Here is a 24,410-nt window from a genome sequence, read left to right as displayed (position 1 = left end):
TCCTCATGCTACCCCCTCAAATGCCCTTTGTCACCTATGTTATCCCAGGGTAGTGACAAATTCAGACATGGATTCAAACTCGGTGCCTCCACTACCAGTGATAAGAATTTGGTGAGTTACCTAAGCTTTGAACCTCAGTTTTCTGCCCTGTGAAGTGGATCTAATAATAGTACTTGTCTTATGGGATTTTGTGGCAATTCAATGAGATACTGCATTTACAAAGCTCTTGGATCAGCGACTGGTGGTTAAACACACAATAAACATTAGCTACTATAATTACTACAGCATTTTAAGTGTTCAGTGTGTACGTCCACATGGACTCTGACCTCCATGAAAAATGGACTGTGCTTTTATCATCTTTGCAGATTCAGCACTGAGCACACTGCTAAATTATTTAATAATAATATCTAATTATTAGGCCTTATTTGCTTCTTGTCTGAGAAGGGAACATGCATTTTTATTCCTGGATGAAAGGTGAAAATAAGGTTTCCTTCTCTCTACTCTCACCCCAGTGGGATTTCTATCTAGAGTGAAAATACTGCCCAACCACTGCTGGCAGCAGTGCCTTACCCAGGTGAAAGCCACAAGCACAGCTGTCTCTGGGTGAAGTCAGGGAGTGGGATTTCAGGGGTGTTGGGAGGGAGCCACTTCTCTCTCCTACCTCCTCCCAAGGCCTCTTCTATGAAGACTGGAAGTTTGCTTGAAGAATCTTGCCTTCTGCATAGGGCTTTATTCAACAGAAGCACTAATTTACTCCAGACTGCGAGTAGATCTTCTGTTCTTTTCCAAGAGATAGATTTATCAGAGGGTTAGAAACACAAATACGGCATTGATGTACTTCAGGGGCACCAAAGAGAGAGTAAATAAGTGATCCAGGGTTTGGGAAATGGTACTGAACAGGGAATCGGAGGAAACCAAGGCAGAGCCATCTGTTTTGGAGTTATGCCTGGGCCTTCCAGAAGGAAGATGAGTTTGGTACAAATACTACATAATCACTGCACTGAGCTCTTGATGGAGCTACCAAGTAGGTGAACCTGGCAATTGCACATGTCCTTTGACCTGGAAGGCAGTAACAATGTGGTTAAGAGTTGGGGCTTGGTGGTCCAATGGCGCTGGGTCTGGTCTGGAGGTAGCTCTGTCTCTGAATGCTTTGCTTCTACTGTGGGACTTCTCTGGAGATACTTTCTTCATAGCATTGGTCAGAAGAAATGATGTCTTGTGGTGATCAAGTCCCATTACTGCCACATAAAAGATGCTAAAAATGACTTTAAGATGGCAGTTCCATTCTCTTCCTTTCACCTCTTTGTGCAAGATGGAAAACGCTATTCCCTCCAACTCCTGCATAAAGCCGCCATCTTGTCCTTTCACAGATTTCCACCATACCATCTTTCCCACTTCTGGGGAAAGCGGCTTGATGATTCACAGTGTCCACATGCACTTTGAAATCTTTATAGCCCCAATAGTCATGTTTATTGGCAGGAAGAGAGATTTGTTGCCCCAATACAAGCACGCAACTTTGAACCCTGGAACCAAGACTTGATTCTCATTTTCTGATGGGTGAGCCAGCTTGTCCTTGTTGGAATAGTGCAGCCTTGTTTGTGTGTGGCTAATGTAGTTTTCACTGGTGTGACTAACTGAAAGACTGCTTGCTGACATGAGTGCAAAGCTGATAAGCAGCAGCTCCACAGAAAGCACTGACCTCACTTAAGCAACCATGGTGGTACCTGGACATCTGTCCTGCACACCCAGTTCTTATGCCCTGCCTTCTAGAGGAGCTGATGGAACAGGAAAAGATGTGGAAAAGGAGTGAAAGGGATGAAGACCTCCCAAAGGAAGATAAACTTAGAAAGGAGGAGATGGGCTAGAAGTCTGGCAACATTACTTTGTGAGTTAAGGATGCATTTTCTTGGCCGGGCATGGTTGCTCATGCCTGTAATCCCAGCACTTTGGGAGGCTGAGGCGGGTGGATCACCTGAGGTCAGGAGTTCGAGACCAGCCTGTCCAACATGGTGAAACCCCATTTCTACTAAAAATATAAAAAATTAGTCGGGCATGGTGGGGGGGTGCCTGTAATGCCAGCTATTCAGGAGGCTGAGGCAGGCGAATCGCTTGAACCTGGGAGGCAGATGTTGCAGGGAGCCAAGATCGTGCCACTGCACTCCAGCCTAGGCAACAAAAGTGAAACTCTGTCTCAAAAAAAAAAAAAAAAAAAGCATTTTCTTGCAAGTAACAGGAAATTTGACTTATTTGACTTTAGAGCATTTTAAATAAATAGGGGTTTATTTTCCTCAGATAACAAGAAGTCTGAAGTAGGCAATCCAGGGCAGGTTTAGCAATTCCATGATGTTGCAGAGACTTGGGCTACTTTTCTTTGCTACACCATTTTTTGAGCTGGTTTGTCCTCTCAGGGTTCATCACAGCTGCCCCAACTGCAGACACAAGGTACATTGTCTCAGCAAGAGTCACAGGAAAGGGCAATGGCAGCCACAACTACCCTTTTTTTTAAAATCAGGAATATGGAAGCTTGACCACTGCCAGTGGACTTCCCCTCTCATTTCATGAACCAGAACTGGGCCACTTGGCCACCTTCCTAGCTGCAAGTGAGCCTGGGAAAGGGAACTTGGTTTACCGGTCTCTGTGGTGGGAGGAAGAAAAGGAGAGGGCTTGGCAGTGGCCCAGGGGCAGCAAATCTAAGGCCCTACCACAAATCTGAGAACAGAAGACCAAACTTCAAAGCCCCTGTGTTCTCATTCATTATTGCTTTTTTGCCAGACATCCAGCATCCAACTTAGTCAAGGTTCCCCAGACTGAGGGATCTAGCATAAGACCTTTCTCTGATCACTGGCATATTGATGGCTTTTGGGTATTCCCAGCAGGGAGCAGTTTCCATGGCAAGAGTGTGCTTGCTCTCCCTAAATAACTGGAAAATAAATGGTTTTCCCCCAACCTAGTGGCACCTGGACATCTGTCCTGCATACCCAGTTCAGGGAGTGAGAAGACTTTTTACTCTTTTATTTTTATTGTCTAGCTCCAAAAACCATTGGCTTGCCACATCATGCTTCTGATTTCAATCTCTTTCACCCCTGATTTCCACAAATGGGAGACCCAAAGTCGTGCCCAGGAAGGAGAGAAGGCCAGCGTGGGGATGAGGCACTAAATCCCTGGTCCTAGAGGGTGCCCCAACGTGGCTGCATGACTGGCTGTCCCTTCCCGTGGGTGCCCACTCCATCTGCCTTCAGAGGTGCTGTTGTGGTGAGGGCTACAGTGATGCTCCCCATGTTCTGAGACTGGGAATGGTGGGAGTCACACTCTCATGCACATCTTCAGTGCAGCCTGCCAGTTTTCCCTCCAGGTTGCCTTGGCTGTTTCACCCGCTCTGGTGGGTGCTGGTGCATAGAGGCTGAGAGGGCTGGTTCCAGAGTTGCAGGTTCAAATCTTGCTTCCAGCCACTACCTGGGCAAATAATTTAACCTCTTTGGGTCTTAGTGTCATCACCTGTTAAACAAGGGTAACAATAGTAACTTTCTGCCAGAGTTTTTGTCAGGATTAAATGTGCTTAGGACAGAGCTCCACATGTACTAACTTAGCAAGTGTGAGCCACTCTTCTTACCATCCCAGCCACATTCACTACTACTCCAGTCTTGACTTGGGTGTCTGCAGAGCCTGCTTAGCTTTCAAGTTTAGGGTCTTTGGATTTTGGAACCATTGTGGGGCTACTGCTTAAAGTAAACATTTTGTACTTTTATTTTTTTCTAAATGAATGTAAAGAGCTAATCAAATGTTAAAATAGTAAGCTTTGCTTAAAGTTATAGTTCAAATTCAGATTCAAATTTGGCTAAAACTTACCGTGTAACTGTGCCAAGCAAACTTTGTACTAAATACGTCTATATTTTCTTTCTCCCCCTTATAAATTCAAAACACTAGAGTGCTGGCAATCTGCTGTAAATGTCTTTATAAAATAAAAAGAGTGGAGGGAGGTGTTTTATGAAGCTGGAGTAAAAACATATATAATTTAGAAGACAGTGTGGGATTGTGGAAGACCATGGGCTTTAGTTCAGTTAGGCCTGAGCATGTGTGCTGTGTTAACCTTTTTAAGCTTCATTTGTAATATGGGGATGTTAACATTCTTCTCATAGAGTGATTCTTCTCATCTCACATTCTGCTCAGATGTTTAAGAAAAGCAATGGAAAGGTTTGTAACAAGCTACTTTGACGTGGTAGAGCTTCAACAGCTATTACACTCTTTCCTGTTTTGATCAGATTTCAGCCATGATAGAATCCTATGTTTTGTATATTGGTGCTGGAAGCCCTAATAAAATCAATGAGTGACACAGACACTTCATACAAGATGCTAATTTTCTCTTTCTTTTTTAACAGGCAACTGGATATGGCCAAGAGGGGAAGTTTAGTGGACCCCTGAAACCCATGACATTTTCTATTTATGAAGGCCAAGAACCGAGTCAAATTATATTCCAGGTAAAAGCTACCCTTGATCACTGTCCTCTTGATTTTGTATGCTCTCTTGGTGGACTTTTACTTCCTTATCTATTGTATAGCAGGAAATAAAATAAAGGCATGGCATTCTCATTATCAAGAATGATTTCAGAAGCTAAGTTAAACAGAGAGATGAGTGGCCTCAGTATCATAAGAATTGTACCTGACATTCTATTTGGACTTCCTCAATCATCTCTGGGGCGAGTGCTCCCAGCCCTCTGCAGGGAGCTTGGTGGCTGCAGGCTCTGCCTCTCCCCTAGAGTAGAAAGGGAACCTGTCTCTGGAGAGGGGAATGACCATCCACCCTCGAGGCTGTCTGATCAATGAGCTTGCTGCTTCAAGTACTGGAAGATACGGCTTCTCTGGAGTCAGTGCTAGAATGAGCTTTCTGGCCAGAGGACTGCCTTTTCCTTACCACCTTCTCTGAGCCCCCATGTGGGCCATTGTCAAGGTGCACTGGGAGGTGGACGTTTTATTTAGTTAGATAACCATGAACAGTATCAGATGGAGGGGCAGTCTGCAGGTGGGAATAAGGGAAGGGACCTAAGTCCCATCTTAAGTGCTATTAAAGACACAGAAATAATCCTGGAAATGTAGTGGAGAAGGGGAAAACACTACTGTATTTACCAGACATCCCCTGAGAAAGTCACTTGGCCCTGAAGTGATTGGAGGATGCTGATGAGCCTTCTTGGGGGTGCCCGTGACCCCTCCCCGTCCCCTGAACCAGGGAAGTGGCAGAGGTTGCTGAGCTACCTACCTTCTAAGGCAAGTGCCTTCCATTAACTGCCAAAAATTTACAGACGGCCCTCTGTATCTGTGGGTTCATGCATCAGCAAATTCAACCAACAAAGAATCAAATATATTTGGGAAAAACAATAAAAATGATACAAATTTAAAAATACAGTATAATAATCATTTACATAGCATTTACATGGTATTAGGTATTATAAATAATCTAGAGATGGTTTAATGTATATGGGAGAATGCGAGTAGGTTCCATGACCATAATACACCACTTTATATAAGGGCCTTCAGTATCTGTGGATTTTGGTATCTGCGTGGGTCCAGGAATGAGCCCCCACCAATGCCAAGGGACAACTGTATTGTGCTGGACAGTTCCCCTCCACAGAGGAGAGGCTGAAAGCTATCTCTCTTCCCCTTTCTTTCATTGGTACCAGCTTAAGGCAAAGGGCCCCAGAGTAAGAGCTGGCAGGGGCATGCTTGCATGTCTATGCAGCCCGGTGAGGTAGGGTGTTATTAGGGGCCTCCACCTCTCCAGTCAGGGAAGTCAGGGCCTGAAGAAGCAGTGAATGTGTTGAGAGCTGGAGGTTGATGGGAATTAACTTGGTGAGGAAGGGAGGGAAGAAAGCTTAGAAGAGGCCCGGCAGGGATGGCTGCCCTCTGCCAGGAGAGGGCAGGAGACATACCAAGGACTAGCAGAAGGCCATGCAGGTAGGGAGGATGGAGCCAGGAGGAGCAGGTGGGAGAGGAGGCCACAGAGACAGGGAGGACCCTGACTCCTAAGGATCTTGAGTTTTTCTCAAAAGCAATGGATCTGAATCAAGACTCCATTGAGAAAAGGTCACTCTGGCTACAAACTAAAGGAGGAAAGAGAGGATTCAGGGAACTGGCTAGGGGACTCTGGCAGGGGCTCACACAGAGTTGAATTACTTACTTTTTCTCACAGACTTTCTTTTATTAACCATGTACGGAGTGACTACTATATATACCAGCTGCTCTGCTGGGTACTGGGGATATGGGATGACCCCGACTCCATCCCTGCTCCGGTGAGCTTACCAGCTAGTAAGAGAAAACTAACAAGGAAACAGACACATGCACTGAAGCTTCTCATGGGAGGCTGGTGGGATGTGGAGGGGGCAGAGGGTAAACTAAGAAAGAGTGACTGATTTTTATTTGTTTATGTTTATTTTTAATTGACAAAATTGCACATATTGTGTACAATGTGTTTTGAAGTATAGAGAGAAATGACTAAATGAAGCTAATTAACATATGCATTATCTCACTTATCTCTTTTTTGTGGTGAGAACACTTAAAATCTAAGAATGATCAATTTCAAATAAAGATGGTAGTGAGCGAACAGAAGAGGTTTCATTGACTCCTAAACTGAGTACTCAAAAACGAGCAGGTGCTCACAGTCAGGAAGCAGGTGCTGAGTACAGGATGGGAAAAAGCATGGGGGTGTGCACTTGTCAAGAAAATGACAGCTGGCATGTGGGCCAGAGTATAGAGTGGGAGACAGGATGCAGTCAAAGGTCTGCATGCCTGCGGAGGTCAGCACGGGCTGGACTAGCCCTTCGTCCTATAGCAGGCTGCAGGGTGCTGCTGGAGGGTTTCAACAAGGAAAACCGTAACTAGATTTGTGCTGTAGAAGCTTACTGTGTGATCACTCAGAGCATGAGCTGCAAGGGAGCGAGCCTAGACGTTAAAAGGATTTTAGAAAACTGTTTTCAATAGTTCAACGGGAAGTGAGGGAGGCCTGGTTTGAGTAACTATAGAGGTCTGAATGTTGGTGTCCCCACAAAGTTCATATGTTGAAGCCTAATCTCCAATGTAATAATATCAAGAGTTAGGGTCTTTGGTGGGTGATTAGATCATGAGGGCTCTACCTCTATGAATAGGATTAGTGCCCTTATAAAAGACGCTTGGGGGTGCCTGTTTGCCTCTTCTGCCATGTAAGGACACATGAAAGGTGCAGTCTGTGAGGAGTGGGCCCTCACCAGACACTGAATCTGCTGGTTGGATTTCTCAGCCTTCAGAACTATGAGCGATAAACTTCTGTTGTTTATGTTTCTGAATGAGCACAGGGGATGAGGGAACAGAAAGAAGGACAACTCTTAGGTCTCTGGCTTGCTTGACTGGGTAGTTAGTGGTGTCACTGAGTGAGAGAGAGAGAGAGAGTACAGCAAAAGATTTAGAGAAAAGTGAATGAGTTTTAGGCTTATTGATTTTAAGGTTATCTGTGGGGCAGCCAGGTGGAGAGGTCTCAGACAGTGTTAATATGGGTCAGGAGATACAGATTGGGGAGACTTCCTTATATAGGTGCCAATAGAGTGCTTGGATATGACATAGATACCTGTCTGTGGTGAGTTATCTCAACTGCTCTTAGGGGCTAGCTGAGTGATAAATGAAGCCATATGGAAAAAAGAAAAACAACAGCCAAACAACAACAACAAAAAACAGATATGAGAAAAAAACCCAACTGCACAAATATGAAATCAAACGCTTTCTCATACTTGTCTTTAGTATTTGGGACAAGAGGGAGTAGTGGGGACTGTGGCAAACTGAAAGTAAGTCAAAAGGGGATAGGCTTAATTTAGCTCCAGACGATTTTCACGAGTTAGAATTTGGGTACTACTCTACTAGATTTTATAATTTTCCTAGAAAAGGCATAAAATGTTATATTTATATAAAATTCACTGATGTAAAAAAATTGGCATAGTTTTTTTTTAATTACAAGCTAAATAAAACATATTTGTGAAACAAAGTTTGTGGCTACTTCTGAGATTTCTGTATGAAAAGACCCAAGGTCAAAATAGAGTAGGTGTTCTGTGAGTACAGGTCCACACTCCATTGAAGACAATCAGGATTGTACATAGATGCAATCTTCAACTTACAAGCTTTACAACGGACAAACATCCAGACCTAGAAACTGTTCAGTAGGATCATTCCAGAGTCTCTGGGGATCCTAGCCAGTAAAAGTCATGCCTTGGGCTGCTCCACTTTTCTTTTTTTGTTTTGTTTTAGTTTTTCTGTTAGTCATGCTGCAAAGTTATCCCTTCTTAGCAGGAAATGATAGCCTGGTTATCATGGTTGAATGTTTCTTCTTTACAGGGGTGTGTGTGTGTGTGTGTGTGTGTGTGTGTGTGTGTGTATTGGGGTAGGGTGTGGGGTTGGGATGACAGAGTAGTGAGAGGAAGATGAAGGGGATTTTCTTTTTAGAATCACAGAAGCTTCATGCTAGAAAACACACTGGGGAGTTTTGGTACAACCGCTTGTTTTAAAAATGGGGAAACTGAGGCTTAAGTTAGTTAATGGCAGAGCCAACAATAGAACACAGGTCTCCTGACTTCTAGTCAAGCACATTTTGCTCTCTCCATCTTTGTACGTGGAAAGAATGCAGCAAACCCAGCCTTGGTAAGATGTGCTCGGAGCTCTTTGCTTCAGTGGTGGGGAGGAGGTAGGTGTACAGATCCTCTCATCCAGCACCTGGACCTACAGAGGCATGAAGAACACTCATTGCCCCATGAGGTTGGTTCTTGGGTTTTTAATATGTCCTCAAAAATAAAATGAACTGAACCACCATACACTTCTTTCATTGTGGATTTTCAACTAGTGCCAGCTCTGTACTCACCAGGGGCTTCCATATCATCAGACAGTGTGATATAAATCTGAGAGAGGTCTTTTTTTTTCTCATTTTAAATAAGATGTAACCCTAAAAATTCATGCCTCTAAAATTCAGTAGTTTTTAGTATCTAAAAAGACGTGCAAATATCACTGCTATCTAATTACAGAACATTTCCATCAGCCTCCAGAGAAATCCTATGCCTATTAATAGTCACTCTCCAGCCTCCACTCCCCTCAGCCTTGGGCAACCACTAATCTACTCTTGATCTCTATAGATTTGCCTGTTCTAGACATTTCATGTAAATGGAATCATACAACATATGGCCTTTTATGTATGACTTCTTTTATGTACCATAGTATTTTAAACATTCATCCATGTTGGTAACATGTACCAGAACTCCATTCCTTTTTATGACTGAGTGATATTCCATCATCTGGATATATCACATTTTGGATATCCATGTGTCAATTGATGGACATTTTTTTTCATTTATGGCTATAATGAATAATGCTGCTATGGCTATTCATGTACAACTTTTTATGAGGACATGTTTTTGATTCTCTTGGACACACACACACACAAACACACACACACACTCAGTAGCAGGACTGCTGGGTCAAAGTTAATTCTGTTTAAACTTTTGAGAAACCACAAACTGTTCTCCAAAGCAGCTGAACCATTTTACATTTTCACCAGTAATGTATGAGTTCCAATTTCTCCATATCCTTAGCACTTGTTATTATCTGTCTTTTTTTTTTTTTTAATTATAGCTATCCTAGTGGTTGTGAAGTGGTATTTCTTTGTGGTTTTGGTTTATATTTCCCTAATGACTGATGTTGAGTATTTTTTCATGGGGCAATTGACTATTTATATATCTTCTTGGGAGAGATGTCTATTCAAATCCTTTGCCTACTTTTAATCAGGTTATTTGTCTTTTTATTGTTGTAAGAATTATTTACATATTCCGTATACAAGTTCTCTCCCTTATCAGATATGATTTGCAGCAAGTATTTTCTCACATTCTATAAGTTATCTTTTCACTTTCTTGGTGGTGTCCTTTGGAGCACAAATGCTTTGAATTTCGATGAAGTCCAATTTATATTGTTATTGTTATTTGTACTTTTGATGTCATATCTAAGAAACCATTTCCTCATTCGGGGTCATAAAGATTTATGTCTATGCTTTCTTCTCAGAGTTTTATAGTTTTAGTTTTTCTATTTAGGTCTTTGATCCATTTTGAGTTAGTTTTGTGTATGGTATGGGGTAAGGGTCCAACTTCATTCTTTTGCATGTGGATATCCAGTTGTTCTAGCACCATTTATTGAAAACACCATTCTTTCCCCCACTGAATTTAGCATCCTCATCAGAAATCAATTGAATTGTTTCTGGCCTCCCACTATGATTCCATTGATCTATATATGTTTATGCCAGTACTGCATTATCTGGAACTACACCTTTGTAGTAAATTTTGAAATTAGAGAACGTTAAGTCTTCCTACTTTGTTGTTGGCTATTCTGAGTCCCCTGTAGTTCCATATGAATTTTAGGATCAGCCTGGAAATTCTACAAACAAGGCAGCTGTAATTTTGATAGGGATTGTATTGAATCAGTAGATAAACTTGGGAAGTATTGCCATCTTAATAGCATTAGATTTTTAAATCTGTAAACACTAGGTGTCTTTCCATTTATTTAGAACTTGTTTAATTTCTTTCAACAGTGTTTTGTAGTTTCCATTTTATAAGCTTCATATTTCTTTGCTTAAGTTTATTCTGAGATATGTTATTCTTTTTGTTGTGGTTGTAAATGGAATTTTAAAAATATCATTTTTGGGTTGCTATTTGCTAATGGTTAGAAAGATTGATTTTTGTTTATTGATCTTTTATCCTGAAACCTTATAATACTTGTTTATTAGCTGTAATAGTTTTTTTAGGTTCCTTAGAATTTTCCCTATATAAAATCATGGCAACTGTGAATAGTGATAGTTTTATTTTTTTATTTCCAATCTTTATGCCTTTTATTTCTTGTTCTTGCCTAATTCCCCTTGCTAGAATCTCTAGTACAATGTTAAATAGAAGTGGCAAGATTGAGTATCCTTGTCTTGTTTCTGATCTTATGGAGAAAGCTTTCAGTCTTTCACCATTAAGTACAATGTTAGCTGTGGGGCTTACTTCGGTGTCCTTATTAGGCTGAGAAGTCACCTTCTATTCCTGGTGTGTTGAGTGTTTTTATCATGAAAGGATGACGGATTTTGTCAAATGATTTGCTGCCTCTATTGAAATATGTGGTTTTTATCCTTGATTCTATCAATATGGGATACTACCTTAATTGACCTTCATAGATTGAACCAGCTTTGTATTCTGGTATAATTTCCACTTGGTAATGGTATATAATACTTTTCATATGTTGCTGGATTCAGTTTGCTAGTATTTCATTGGAAAATTTTGTGCCTATATTCAAAAGAGACATTAGTCTGAAGTTTTCTTGCATTGACTTTTTTCTGGTTTGGGTATCAGGATATTGGCCTCATAGAATGAATTGAATAAGTGTTCCTTACTCTTCTAGTTTTGGAAGAATTTCTGAAGGTTTGATGTTAATTCTTCTTTACATGTTAGGTACAATTCACTAGTGAAGCCATCTGGTTCTGGGCTTTTTTGTGTGTGGAAATTTTTTGATTACTAATACAATCCCTTGTTATAGTTCTATTCAGATTTTCTATGTGTTCTTGAATCAGTTTTAGTAGTTTTTGTCTGTCTAGAAATTTGTCCATTTGATCTAGGTTGTCTAATTTGTGGGAAAACAATTGTTCACAATATTCTCTTTAATACTTTTTGTTTCTATAAGGTTGGTAGTAGTCCTCTTATATTCCTGATTCTAGTTATTTGAATCTTACCTCATTTTTCTTGATCAGTCCAGCCAAAAGTTTGTCACTTTTGTGGATCTTTTCAAATAATCAACTCTGGTTTTGTTGACTTTTCTCCTGTGCTCTTATATTCTCCATTTCATTAATTTCCACTCTGATCTTTGTTATTTTCTTCTGCTTGCTTTGCTATTCTTCTTTTTCTTGTTTTTCTTTTCTTTTTTTTTTCTAAGTAGAAGATTAGGTTCTTTGGGATATTTCATCTTTGTAAAGTATGAACATTTACAGTGATAGATTTTCCTCTAAGTACTGCTTTATCTGCATCCCATAAGATTTGGCATGCTGTGTTTCATTTTCATTTACATCAAAGTATTTTCTAATTTCCCTTGATTTCTTCTTTGACCTTTGGTTTTTAGAGTATATTGTTATTTTACATATTAGTGATTTTCCCAAATTTCCTTATATTGTTTTTAATTGTATTCAATTGTCAAATACTTTGTATAACTTCAATCCCTTTAAATTTATTGAGACTCGCTTATGGTCTAACATATAACCTCTCCTGGAGAATGTTCCATGTGACTGGCTTTTGTTGGATGGAGTGTTGGGTGTTTGTTAGCTTCTAATTGGTTTATAGTATTGTTCAAGTCTTCTGTTTCCTTATTGATTTTCTATTCTATTATTTAAAGTAAAGTCTTGAAATCGTCAATTATTACTGTTGAATTATTTAATTTCCTTTCCATTCTGTCAGCTTTTCTTTCATGTGTTTTGAGGTCCATTGTTAGGTGCATATATGTTTATAATTGCTATGGTTTCTTGATGGATTGACCCTTATATCATTATAGAATATCCCATTTTGTCTCTGAAAATTTTGTTTTAAAGTCTGTTTTGTCTGATAGTAGTATAGGTTAATTTTATCCTCATTTTGAAGGATAGTTTTGTAGGATTTACAGTTCTTACTTGGCCACTCTTTTTCTTTCAGCACTTTGTTTTTTTTTTTTTTTTTGGTTTGTTTGTTTGTTTGTTTGCTTGTTTTTGTTCGAGACGGAGTCTCACTCTGGGAATCTCACTCTGTCCTCCAGGCTGGAATGCAGTGGCACAATCTCAGCTCACTGCAAGCTCCGCCTTCTGGGTTCACGCTATTCTCCTGCCTCAGCCTCCCAAGTAGCTGGGACTACAGATGCCCACCACCATGCCCGGCTAATTTTTTGTGTTTTTAGTAGAGATGGGGTTTCACCGTGTTAGCCAGGAAGGTCTCGATCTCCTAATCTCGTGACTGCCCACCTCAGCCTCCCAAAGTGCTGGGATTACAGGCATGAGCCACTGCACCCGGCCTCTTTTAGCACTTTGAATGTGTCATTCCACTGCCTTCTGATCTCCATGGAAAATTAGCTGTTAATTTTATTGAGGATCCTTTACATGTGATGAGTCTATGCACTTTTAAGATTCTCTATCTTTCAAATGTTTATGATGTGACTAAATTTGGATTTCTTTGAGTTTATTCTATTTGGAGTTCATAGTGATTGTTGGATATATAGATTCATGTTTTTCTTAAATTTGTGAAGTTTTGGGTCATTCTGTCTTCAAATAATCTTTTTTCCCCCTTTTTCCTTTCCTTCTGGAACTTTTATTATGTATGTGTTTTTCTGCTTGATGGTGTTTCACTGGTCTCTGGGAATCTATTCATTTTTGTTCATTTTTTTTCTTTCAGTAATCTCTATTAATCTATTTTCAAGTTCACAAATTCTTTCTTTTGCTAGCTCAAATCTGCTTTTGAACACCCTCTTATGAATTTTTCCTTTCAGTTATCATCCTTGTCAACTGTAGAATTTCTATTTTAAAAATTTCTATTTTTAATCAATATTCTATATCTGATGAGGCATTGTTTTCAAACTTTAATTCTTTAGAGATGATTTCCTTTAGTTTTTGAATCTATCTAAAATAGATTTTTAAAAATCTTTAGTAAATCCAACATCTGGGCTTCCTCAGGGACAGTTTCTATTGACTTTTTAATATTTTTGTACATTTCATAATTTGTTGAAAACCAAACATTTTAAATAATGTGATGTGGCAACTCTAGAAATCATATATCTTTCTTTTCCTGGAGTTGGTTGTTGATGCTGTTTGTTTGCTTAGTGACTTTCCATAATGAATTCTGTAAAGTCTGTATTCTTTGTCATGTCTGGCCACTGAAGTCTGCTCAGTCAGCTTAGTGTTCAGCTAATGACTAGATAGAGAGTTCCTTAAATGCCTTAAGCCAGTAAGTCTCCTGGTGTTTACCAAGGGGCACTGTGTGCATGTTGGGACACAACCTTCAACTATGTGGCAGGCAGTTTACAACTCTGCCTTCGCCTTCACTTTCTGCTTATGCAGAGCCTCCAAGTCAGCCAGAGGTGAGGGATTAGGGCCTTCTCAGGTCTTTCCCAGGCATGCACACAGCCCTGCTCATGATAGTGGCCTTGTAGATTGCCAGGAATATATTAGAGATTTTCAAAGCCCCTTATGGACATCTCATTTCCCAGCTTTCCCTTTTAAGTGTTTTGGTCAGCTGCTTCTTTGCTTCAACTGTTATCACAGCCTCAGGCAGCTGCAATGTTGAACAATTGCTAATGGTTGTTTTCAACAAATGCCCCAGGGGAAAAATTGTGTGTGGTGTATGAATTCTGAGTCCGGTCAAATGAAGATAAGTGTTGTAAGTAGATGTTCCCAGGGAAATGCCAACAGGATAGATAATGATAGTTCTCTGGTGATGGAGCTTTTGGGAAGCTACAAACGCTTCTCACCCTCTCCATGGTACTGTGGTGTGAGGCTGTTGCTTTCAAGGCTACTTCAGATCTTAGGAAAGGACCATGGGATTAGGGTGCATTAAAACACCACAAACCTTAGTTTTTTTTTTTTTTTTTAATAAACATTCCTTGGATTTTGCAAGCATCTGGTTAATTTCCCATATTCTTAAAAAGATGATATTTACAATTTTTGCCAGTGTTCTCATTGCTTTTATGGAGGAGCAGTTTTCTGTAGGCCCTTACTCCACCTTTCTCACTGATGTCCAGGTCTTTTTCTGAAAACACAAAATAGCAACATGTTCATTTATTATATAAACAATATAATATCAACAAGCAAACATGCACAAAAACTTTTTAACTTACAATCTTACCCATTTAACACATCAACTCTTCTTATATTTTAAATTCCATTTCTTACCTACTGACATGAATTCTTTTGGTACCATAACAGTCTAGATTTACTCTCAAATTTACTTCTGTTACTTTACATCATTGTTTCTTATGTTTCTTCATAATTTGTAGAATGAACATTTTAATGATTAATATTCTGTCAAGTTCATGTGCCATAATAATTTCACTGTCCTTTTTTTTTGACCATTTAGGAGTTTTCAATCTTACTGGTATTATAAATAAAGTTACTTTCACTATAAGCATGTACTTGTTTGAAGAAATATTTCCTTAGGGTAAATTATGTATAGTAATGTTTGCTATCAAAGGGTACAAACATTTTATGCCTCAAGTTATTTCCAAAAGGATTATAGGAATTTATATTTCCATCAACAATGTTTCTTTATATCCATACTAACTTTGATATTGCTTTTAATTTAATAAAAATATATAAAAGTATACTAAAACTTAAGGTTGAACAGCTTTTATGTTTTCTTAGTTTTATGTGAATTTTCTGTTGCTGTGGTCTTAAAAGTGATATAGCCATATCTATGAATATGGTGGTCGGTATTTTCTCCACTTCTGAAAAAGTAATAGATTATCATATAGCATTTGCATTAAGTTAAAGCCACTTATAAATTCTTTTCCTTAACATTAACGTGTCTATTAATCTTTGTCACAATTTTTAGAAGTGCTAAATGACATATTTTATCCTAGAGAGAAAGCTACCCTTTTAATGCTTCTTAGAAGCTAGTAATGTCATAGATTTCAGATATTACCAAAAAGTCTCTTTTAACCCCAGCTATAATTTAAAGCATCAATGACTTTTGTCAATGTATTGAATAATAGTATACAGTCTCTTGAGGAAAATGTATGTTAAATGTTACACAGTTATTGTGCAAACAAACTTTTAGAAGGTACCACTTTAAAAGTTGAGGATTTCTTATTTAGTAATTGAACCAATGAAAATTTTACCTGAAATTGGTGACTTTCTACAAATTCCACAACATTGTTTTTTCCCTTACAACTTAATCTGTTTTTTGCTTTTTCCCCAGTTTAAGGCCAATCCTCCTGCTGTGACTTTTGAACTAACTGGGGAGACAGACAACATATTTGTGATAGAACGGGAGGGACTTCTGTATTACAACAGAGCCTTGGACAGGGAAACAAGATCTACTCACAATCTCCAGGTAAATTGATACCAGCTGAAGGGATCTAACTCCAACCTCTCTGAGCACCCTTTGTTCTGGAAGTATGGCTGGCACCTTCCTTCCTTGCACAGAATCCAGTTACAGCTTTCCTTACATTAATGGGACGCTTTGCAATCCTCACATGTCCATTTCTTACCAACTACAGAGGGGTGTGGCAAACATATCCTTTTCCTTAGGCTTTTTAACCAACGTAACCCCACTTACATTGCCAGGACCCTCTGATGGCATTACTTATCCAAGTAAGACCATGCTTAGGTACTTGGATCAAAAGTCAGCACATCTCTGATACTTCAATGGTATCTGCCTGTGGCTGTTGCATTGGCTTGGGACCCATGAAGAAGGCTGTATCGGTGCTGGGATGGAGCTCCTTTGGGCGTTGGAAGAAGCAGAGGGAACCAGTAGCCAGGAGCTGACTAAAAAGACCCGTCTCCCTCTCTTTCTCCTTTAGTTTTCACCGTTGGTATCTGAATACCTAGGAAAGTCAGAGAGCCTACTATGGAAAAAAGAGTGAGATAAAAGCTTTCTGTCTGGTACTTCTGCTGCAGGCCTTGCAGGCTGACCGCCATAATGGCTCTGGAAGAGAACACAACACTTTCATATTCTCAGGGGTCACAGTGCTCTTGTTTCATGGACTTCAGCCATCCAGAACAGATGCATGTTCAGTGTCCAGAACACCCTGCTGATAGAAAGTCACCATCATGATTAGCCAGGCTTAACTGATACAATCCCTGTTTTAGCATTTCCCAATTTGGCCTTTTGTGAGTTCTTTCTCTCCTACAGTCACCAGGCCATTGGTTCTTTGAGTTCTAATTTCCTTCAAGTGATTTTTGGGCATGTGACATGAAGTTCAGTCTCACCAACATGGTTTCCTTTTCCTCAACATCAGGTTGCAGCCCTGGACGCTAATGGAATTATAGTGGAGGGTCCAGTCCCTATCACCATAAAAGTGAAGGACATCAACGACAATCGACCCACGTTTCTCCAGTCAAAGTACGAAGGCTCAGTAAGGCAGAACTCTCGCCCAGGTAACAGGCAGGGGCCAGAGATATTTATGGAAAGATGGAAGGGTGTCAGGTGGAAGGGGCAGACTTGTGTGGCTAATAGCTGCAGCTGTCACTCAATAAGCACTATCTTACCTACATTTCACACTGATTTGGGAGTTGTTTCACTATCTCTATTGCTCCAGAGCATGGTCTCTCAATGCAGCACTATGTATTGACATCTTGGGTCTGATAATTCTTTTTTTGGTCAGAGGCTATTCTGTGCCTTGTAGGATGATTGGCAGCATCCCCCTGACCTCTATCCACTATGTGCCCCCCTGCCAAGTTGTGGCAATAAAAATGTCTCCAGGCATTGCCAAATATCCTCTGGTGGGTGGAGGGCACAAAATCCCAGTACTTTGGGAGGCTGAGGTGGGAGGATCACTTCAGCCAGGAGTTTGAGAACAGCCTGGGAGTTTGAGACCAGCCTGGGCAACAAAGTGAGATCCTGTCTCTACAAAAAATAATAGTTTGCCAGGTGTGGTGGTGCATGCCTGTAGTCCTAGCTACTTGGGAGGCTGAGGTGGCACAATCACTTGGTCCCAGGAGATTGAGGCTGCAGTAAGTTGTGATCACACTATTGCACTCGGTCTGGGCAACAGAGTGAGATTCTGTCTCAAAAATTACCCCCAGTTGAAAAACGCTTTTCTAGGGTGATCTCTAAGATACCTCAGAGCTCTAGAACACTCTAGAAAGGTAAGCTTACTCCCCTGTATCTTCTTAGGAACCTCCATTGATATTGTCACTGGTGGTTTCCAGCTCTTTTCTTCTCTTACATCCCATCTGTGGCTCAGCCCTTCTCTATGCTGCATTGACCTTCTACCTTTCACTTCCACAAAAGCCCTTCATTAAGCCCTTCATTAAGGCCTTCATTAAGGCGTGAGTGTGTCCAGCAGGCACCTAGGAAGGAGCATCACCTCCTAACAGTTGCACACAACATAAATGAATATTAGACTTCAGAGTTCTTAGAAATATGGTTTATCTATTAACATTTACTGTATTAGAAATTTTAAAGATATTCATTTAAAATAATACTAATCAAGACTTGGGGCCATTTGCATCATCCCACCATCAAGCTTCTTCCTTCTCTTTCTTCAATGCCTGCCTCCGAGAATTCCAGGAAAAAATTCACTTCAGTTTATTATGTGGAGTGATGTCCCTGTCCCTGAAGCTGCATACCAAAGACTCACACAGACTCTGCTAAATGTGTAGGCTCCAGGCCGTACCTTTTCTCTCTTCACTAATAGAATCTGCTAGAGAAATGGCTCTCAAACTTTTTGGTTTCAGGACTTGTATATTCTCTTAAAATTTACTGAGGACTCCAGAGAACTTTTAGACAGGTGGGTTATATCCAGTGGTGTCCTGGTAAAGGCTTAACAGCTATTTTTCTAGGGGGACAAAGCTCTGATTTGTAGAATTTTCTAGTTTCCATGTTGCAAATACTCCTACCATGGCCTATTTCAAGTGACCATTGGTATTAATAATTGACACACAAAATTTCTGAAAATTCAACAACTGAGTCTCATGAGCTGTCTCTAGTACATCACTGGTTATATCTATCAACATTTACTATATTAGAAATTTTAAAAAATTATTAATTCATTAAAAATAACACTAATCAACATGTTTTAATGAAAAATAATTGATTTTAAAGACAAAAATAGTAAGAAAAATGGCATTGTGTTAATCTTTGCAAATCTCTTTAATGTCTGGATTAATAGAAAACGCTTGGATTCTCATGTCTGTTTCTACATTCATTCTCTTGCCATGTGCTAGTTTGGTTGAAATATATGAAGGAAAATTAGCCTCACACAGATATGCAGTTGGACAAGAGAGGAATATTTTAATAGTATTTTCAGATAACTGGACATTCTTTAGTACTATACCCAAACTCAATAAATTGTGGTTTCTTAAAGATTAGTTGCAAAGTGAAATCAAAATTAATACCATATTTTCCATTCTTTTACACTACAATTCATTAAATTATCTTGTACTTTAAATGGATCTTTTACAGAAACATGACCTTTAGCTTTACAGAGCACTTGAACAGTTTCAGGGACCCTTAGAGGTTCTTGGACCAGACCTTGAGAAACCTTATTTTAGGGAAGGGGGGAGTGGGATAAATATTTATTTCCCCACTGGTGTGAATTGTCATACCTTTCCCTATTATATCTCCACTTTTTAGATGGAAAAAGTAGCTATGGTTGGTTTGGGTTTCAATTAATATCTTTTTTTTTTTTTTTCTGGGTACGTCTTGTTAAACAGGAAAGCCCTTCTTGTATGTCAATGCCACAGACCTGGATGATCCGGCCACTCCCAATGGCCAGCTTTATTACCAGATTGTCATCCAGCTTCCCATGATCAACAATGTCATGTACTTTCAGATCAACAACAAAACGGGAGCCATCTCTCTTACCCGAGAGGGTAAGTTCAGGGGTGCCCTGGTAGGACTGTCTCGATCAGAAAAAGGGAGTTTGGTCTGTCTCTTCCAGAGACACTTCCTATTCCCTTCTCCCCTACTTCTCACAGGATCTCAGGAATTGAATCCTGCTAAGAATCCTTCCTATAATCTGGTGATCTCAGTGAAGGACATGGGAGGCCAGAGTGAGAATTCCTTCAGTGATACCACATCTGTGGATATCATAGTGACAGAGAATATTTGGAAAGCACCAAAACCTGTGGAGATGGTGGAAAACTCAACTGATCCTCACCCCATCAAAATCACTCAGGTAGTACCCAAGCCCAAGTAACACTGAGAGCCAACTAGATAAATGGCTTCACTTTGTAGAGACCCACCCTCACAGTCTTCACTGATACACTTATTAGATACCTTTTTCATAGCATGATTATAAAGCAAATTATATAGCCTCTGGCCCCGAGTCACTGGACTTGACCATGCATCATGGGCAGGCAACTTGGATGCAGATATTATGTTAGGCCGTTTTTGTATTGCTATAAAGAAATACCTGAGGTGGGGAATTTGTAAAGAAAAGTTTAATTGGTGCATCGTTTTGCAGGCTGTTCAAGCGTGGCTCCAGCATCTGCTTCTGTTGAGGGCCTTGGGAAAATTACGATCATGGCAGAAGGCAAAGGGGGAGCAGGAGCATCATATGACGACAATGGGAGCAAGAGAGTTAGGTGGGAGGTGCCACACACATTTAAGCACCAGGTCTCATGTGAACTCAGAGTGAGAACTCACTTACCACCAAGGGCGTGGTGCTCAGCCATTCACGAGGGATCTGCCCCCATGATCCCACCTCCCACTGGGCCTCACCTCCAATACTGAGGATTACGTTTCAACATGAGATTTGGAGGGGACAAACATCCAAACGACATCAGATATATACTTTTGCTTTCAGAGAGAACTTCACTCACCCTCACCTTAAAAGTAGACAGCAGTGATGTTTGTTGTTCCCTGTTAGCAGTGTGGGATATGGCAGCCCTGCAGTGGGTCATTTATGGTGCACTATGTATGGACATGGTTTGATTTGGGGGTTGCAAATAGATTTGAAAGGCTGCTGCTTCTTATTGTGGAAAAAATCTTGACCCAATAGACTTGCCCATCTTAGGCTGAGGGACGGAGATAGGACTGGCTAGGGGTAAAAGGATCATAGTAGGGAACCTTTCCCCTTGGAAACTCCCTCACCCCTGGCACTCTATCTCCTGTGTGTGCCTCTCCCCTCCGTTCAGATGCTCCTACTTCCCCACCTCTGTGGCATGTGCTCTTACCCTGGGCCCCCTCCTACCTTAGCTCCTAGAAATTCACTCTGGACTCCACCCAGATTTGATATTTTCTGGAAGCCCAGGAAATTCCTCCACATGAAAGCTGTGGGTTAGTGGGAGATCCCTGGATTTGGAAGCAGATGAACAAAATCATATTCCTGTTCCATCACTTGAATGACTGATCATAAACAAGTCATTTAACTATTCTGAGCCCCAATGTCTCATCAATAAAATAGGGATAATACTTCAGTGTTTTGTGAAGATTAACTGAGACAGTATCTGTAAAAGTAGATAAAAATATTAGATATAAAAGGTATTATTATGAAGAAGTACTAGTCTGTAGTTCCCCTAATTTTTTTTTAATGCTACTATTGTTAAGGGGCCCTGGAATGGCCTATTCCATCATATTTATTGGGATGGGCCCAGGGACATTTATTTATTGAATGTTGAATTAATGAACTTCAACTTCAGGAGGGAAAAAAAAGGAAGAACAGCAGGAAGAATTCTGATTTCCCAGTTAGAAAGAAAGCATGTCAGCACTCATTACCATGAGAATTTCTGATTGGGGGCCTAGACTAAAGTCTTCATAGCTATTATTCAGGTTACTCCCAAAGGGATTGGTAAATGCTGCAAAGAACTCATGCTTAGTTGCCTTGGGGCTGCCAAGGGAAAATTCTAGAGTGCCTACCCAATTTTCAGGTCTGGAAAAAATGCTCTGGGTGTTCTGAAACCCAAAAGGAGAGAGGGAGAAAGAGAGAGGGGGAGAGGGGGAAGGAGGAGCGGGAGAAGGGGAGGGAGGAGGGGGAGGAGGGGGAGGGGGGAGGGGGGAGGGGGAGATGGGAAGAGGAACTCAGACTGAATTTTTAGAACACAAGAGGAGCCCACTTTAGAACCAAGAAGGTAGTCTGCAGGGACAATGGGTGATGCTTAAATAATTAGCAAGGGACAAAGTTGCTGCTGTGATATCTTCCCAGGCTGCTCTGAGAATAGTTTACTGTGGAAATTTCAACTAGCAGTAGGACCTTGGGCAAGTCGCTTAAATTTTTTGTGCCCTAGTTTCTTCATTATAAAATAGAGATAACAGTAGTCTGTACGTCAGAGGACTGTTTGGAGATTAAATGAGATATAACACATAAATATGTTTAGAATTGTGTCTGGCATGTGGCAAACTCAGTAAACATTATTAATATATCAGACCAGGCTCTGTCTATATAGCAAGTAGACTGGTCTTACTTGTGTTTATTTTTTATTTTTGCCAGGTTGTTTACAAACAACCCTAGGAGTTGGCAGTTATTCTCATCCCTGAAGTCTCTGAGGCTAAATATTTAGGAAAGGAATGTCCTTATTTTTGTATCATTTGTCTTACTTAATGGCATGGAGAAGACTTCAGAGTGGCCCCTATTGCCCCTGTTCATCTTCATTGGTGAGTATTAGATGCTCACCATACATTGTGGCTTAGTCCTCAGACACTGCCAGCCACAAAGTACATTTTGTTTCTTAAATGGATGGTTCGTGGATAGAAAGCTTTCACAGTCAGACTTCCAAAAGAAAGCAGCCCAGAAACCCTGTAGAGGGTTTGTGAAGAATTGCTTTAGAGAAGAAACATTTCCTGGTGTGCTTTTTTCGAGCAATATAACTTGGTGGGGGGAAACAGGCTTATTTTAGGTTAAAAGTGAAAAACGTAATTCAGTTGTTACAAGAAACCACAAACATACAAGGTTGTCAGAGATTTCAAATTGAGAACTAGAAAATTATTTCCTTTCCAGTTCTCTCAGTCCAAATACAGCTTTCCTCACAACTGACTTTGGGCCCTGTAGGTGCGGTGGAATGATCCCGGTGCACAATATTCCTTAGTTGACAAAGAGAAGCTGCCAAGATTCCCATTTTCAATTGACCAGGAAGGAGATATTTACGTGACTCAGCCCTTGGACCGAGAAGAAAAGGATGCAGTGAGTAAAAGAGAAGAGTTTCACAGGCGACAAGACAAAGTCCTATGCCCATCTACAGTTGAGAGCAAAATGGATTTTACTTTAAAGAAAAAAAAAACACACATTTCAGACTCCAGCATATTATTGGTTTTCAAAGACATGATAATTTTCACATAATTCTGACCCATCTCAGTTTTTAAAATTTTCCAATTCTAAGTGAATTAAAAATAAGGGAGTAAATGACATAGAAATGAAACAACGATTTTCTCTGCTTTTGACAGAGGGTGGTGGGTGAGTCTTGCCTTAACTCTGACTTTCCTGTTGTAGTATGTTTTTTATGCAGTTGCAAAGGATGAGTACGGAAAACCACTTTCATATCCGCTGGAAATTCATGTAAAAGTTAAAGATATTAATGATAATCCACCTACATGTCCGTCACCAGTAACCGTATTTGAGGTCCAGGAGAATGAACGACTGGGTAAGAAATGAGAGCTGCCTAATGCTGTGTAACTGCCCTCCATTTCTCTCCTCTGCTGGGTAAAAGGTGAGCAGGAGACCTTACTGGGAGTCAGTAATCCATGTCTTCCACAGCATAGAGGTTGACTGTACCTTGGGAGTCACGTAAGGACCGTATTTGGGATCAAACAGTATCTGGATAGTATTCTTAAATTGGGGCTTTTATAGCTACCATTACCGCTACTACCATTATCACTATCATTATCAACCTTACTACTATCATTAGTATCACAGCCACCTACACTAGTATCTTATATACATGTATATAGGGATATCTCATTTGCAGGATTTCCCCATACGTTATTTGACTTCTAATAATCTCATTAAAGAGATAATCTCATCACATTTGCCAAAGAATTTAAACATTTACACCCAAAGTCAGACAGACACCCTGCAATAAGTAAGCAACACCAATGGAAGTTGACTTTTGACCCTTGGGCCCCCCTTTCCAAGAAGCTGATAATATAATTCAAGAGGCTGCTAGATGAAGTCAAATCCCATCTATTTTTATCATTTTTGCTTTGTCTTGCTATGTTTTCTTTTACTGTGTCCTGTGATAGCTTTTTAGTTTTTGTATAGGAACAACTACTATAAGAACATTATAATTTCTGGGAGTTTTATGGCTTCTCTGGGTTTGGGACAATGCTTGTCTGTTTCCCCCTTGGCAGTGAGCCCCTTGACTGAGCAGACTGGCATTTCTTGAACTGTTTTGTTCTGTTGTGCTGTGTACCTTTCAGAGGCTTCCAAGTGTAGCAGCCTCACGACTATCATTTCTAGAGCTTCACTGCCCTTGTGGAGAGATCCTCCTGTGCTTTGTGGATGGGCTCACATTTTCTTTTCGTCCCTCCATTCCTCACCAGACACACCTCTGACAGAGTGGGTGCCTTCCCGGAGGCTTGGTGGGCGCTGCTGGAGCGGCTTGCTCACACTGCTCATTATTTTTCTTCTTGCTATCAGGTGTCGTGTGGGCTGCCTTTTGTCAGTGTGTTCTGTGTCACTGTGTTCTGTGCAGGTCCTCTCTGTTTCATTTTTCTCAACTCTTGCCACAACAGGAAGAGTTAATGCCAGCTTGAAGGACTTCAGTTCGTTATAAGGAAGAATCTTCTC

At 40.4% G+C, this 24,410-nt stretch overlaps 1 protein-coding gene across 14 annotated transcripts in view; it reads left to right on the top strand.

Moving 5' to 3' along the window:
* Window positions 1-24,410, top strand: part of CDH17 (cadherin 17) — a 90,117-nt gene that overhangs the window by 23,617 nt on the left and 42,090 nt on the right. For 9 of the 14 annotated variants that reach the window (NR_182224.1, NM_001144663.2, NM_001413954.1 and 6 more), the window contains 7 exons: window positions 4,377-4,475; window positions 15,941-16,075; window positions 16,983-17,121; window positions 19,402-19,560; window positions 19,666-19,865; window positions 22,677-22,808; window positions 23,115-23,265. Coding sequence is in view for 12 of the 14 variants with exons in the window: in NM_001144663.2 (NP_001138135.1) it covers window positions 4,377-4,475; window positions 15,941-16,075; window positions 16,983-17,121; window positions 19,402-19,560; window positions 19,666-19,865; window positions 22,677-22,808; window positions 23,115-23,265 (1,015 nt within the window). In the remaining 2 variants the exon portion in view is untranslated. Of the gene's footprint in view, window positions 1-4,376; window positions 4,476-15,940; window positions 16,076-16,982; window positions 17,122-19,401; window positions 19,561-19,665; window positions 19,866-22,676; window positions 22,866-23,114; window positions 23,266-24,410 lie in introns of all 14 variants that reach the window. The other 5 variants (NM_001413951.1, NM_001413957.1, NM_001413960.1 and 2 more) reach the window with 5 other exon arrangements.

Source organism: Homo sapiens, chromosome 8, assembly GCF_000001405.40.
Source record: "Homo sapiens chromosome 8, GRCh38.p14 Primary Assembly".
Lineage (NCBI taxonomy): Eukaryota > Metazoa > Chordata > Mammalia > Primates > Hominidae > Homo > Homo sapiens.
The sequence above is the reverse complement of the archived record's forward strand: the minus strand, read 5'-3'. Positions and strand labels throughout refer to the sequence as shown.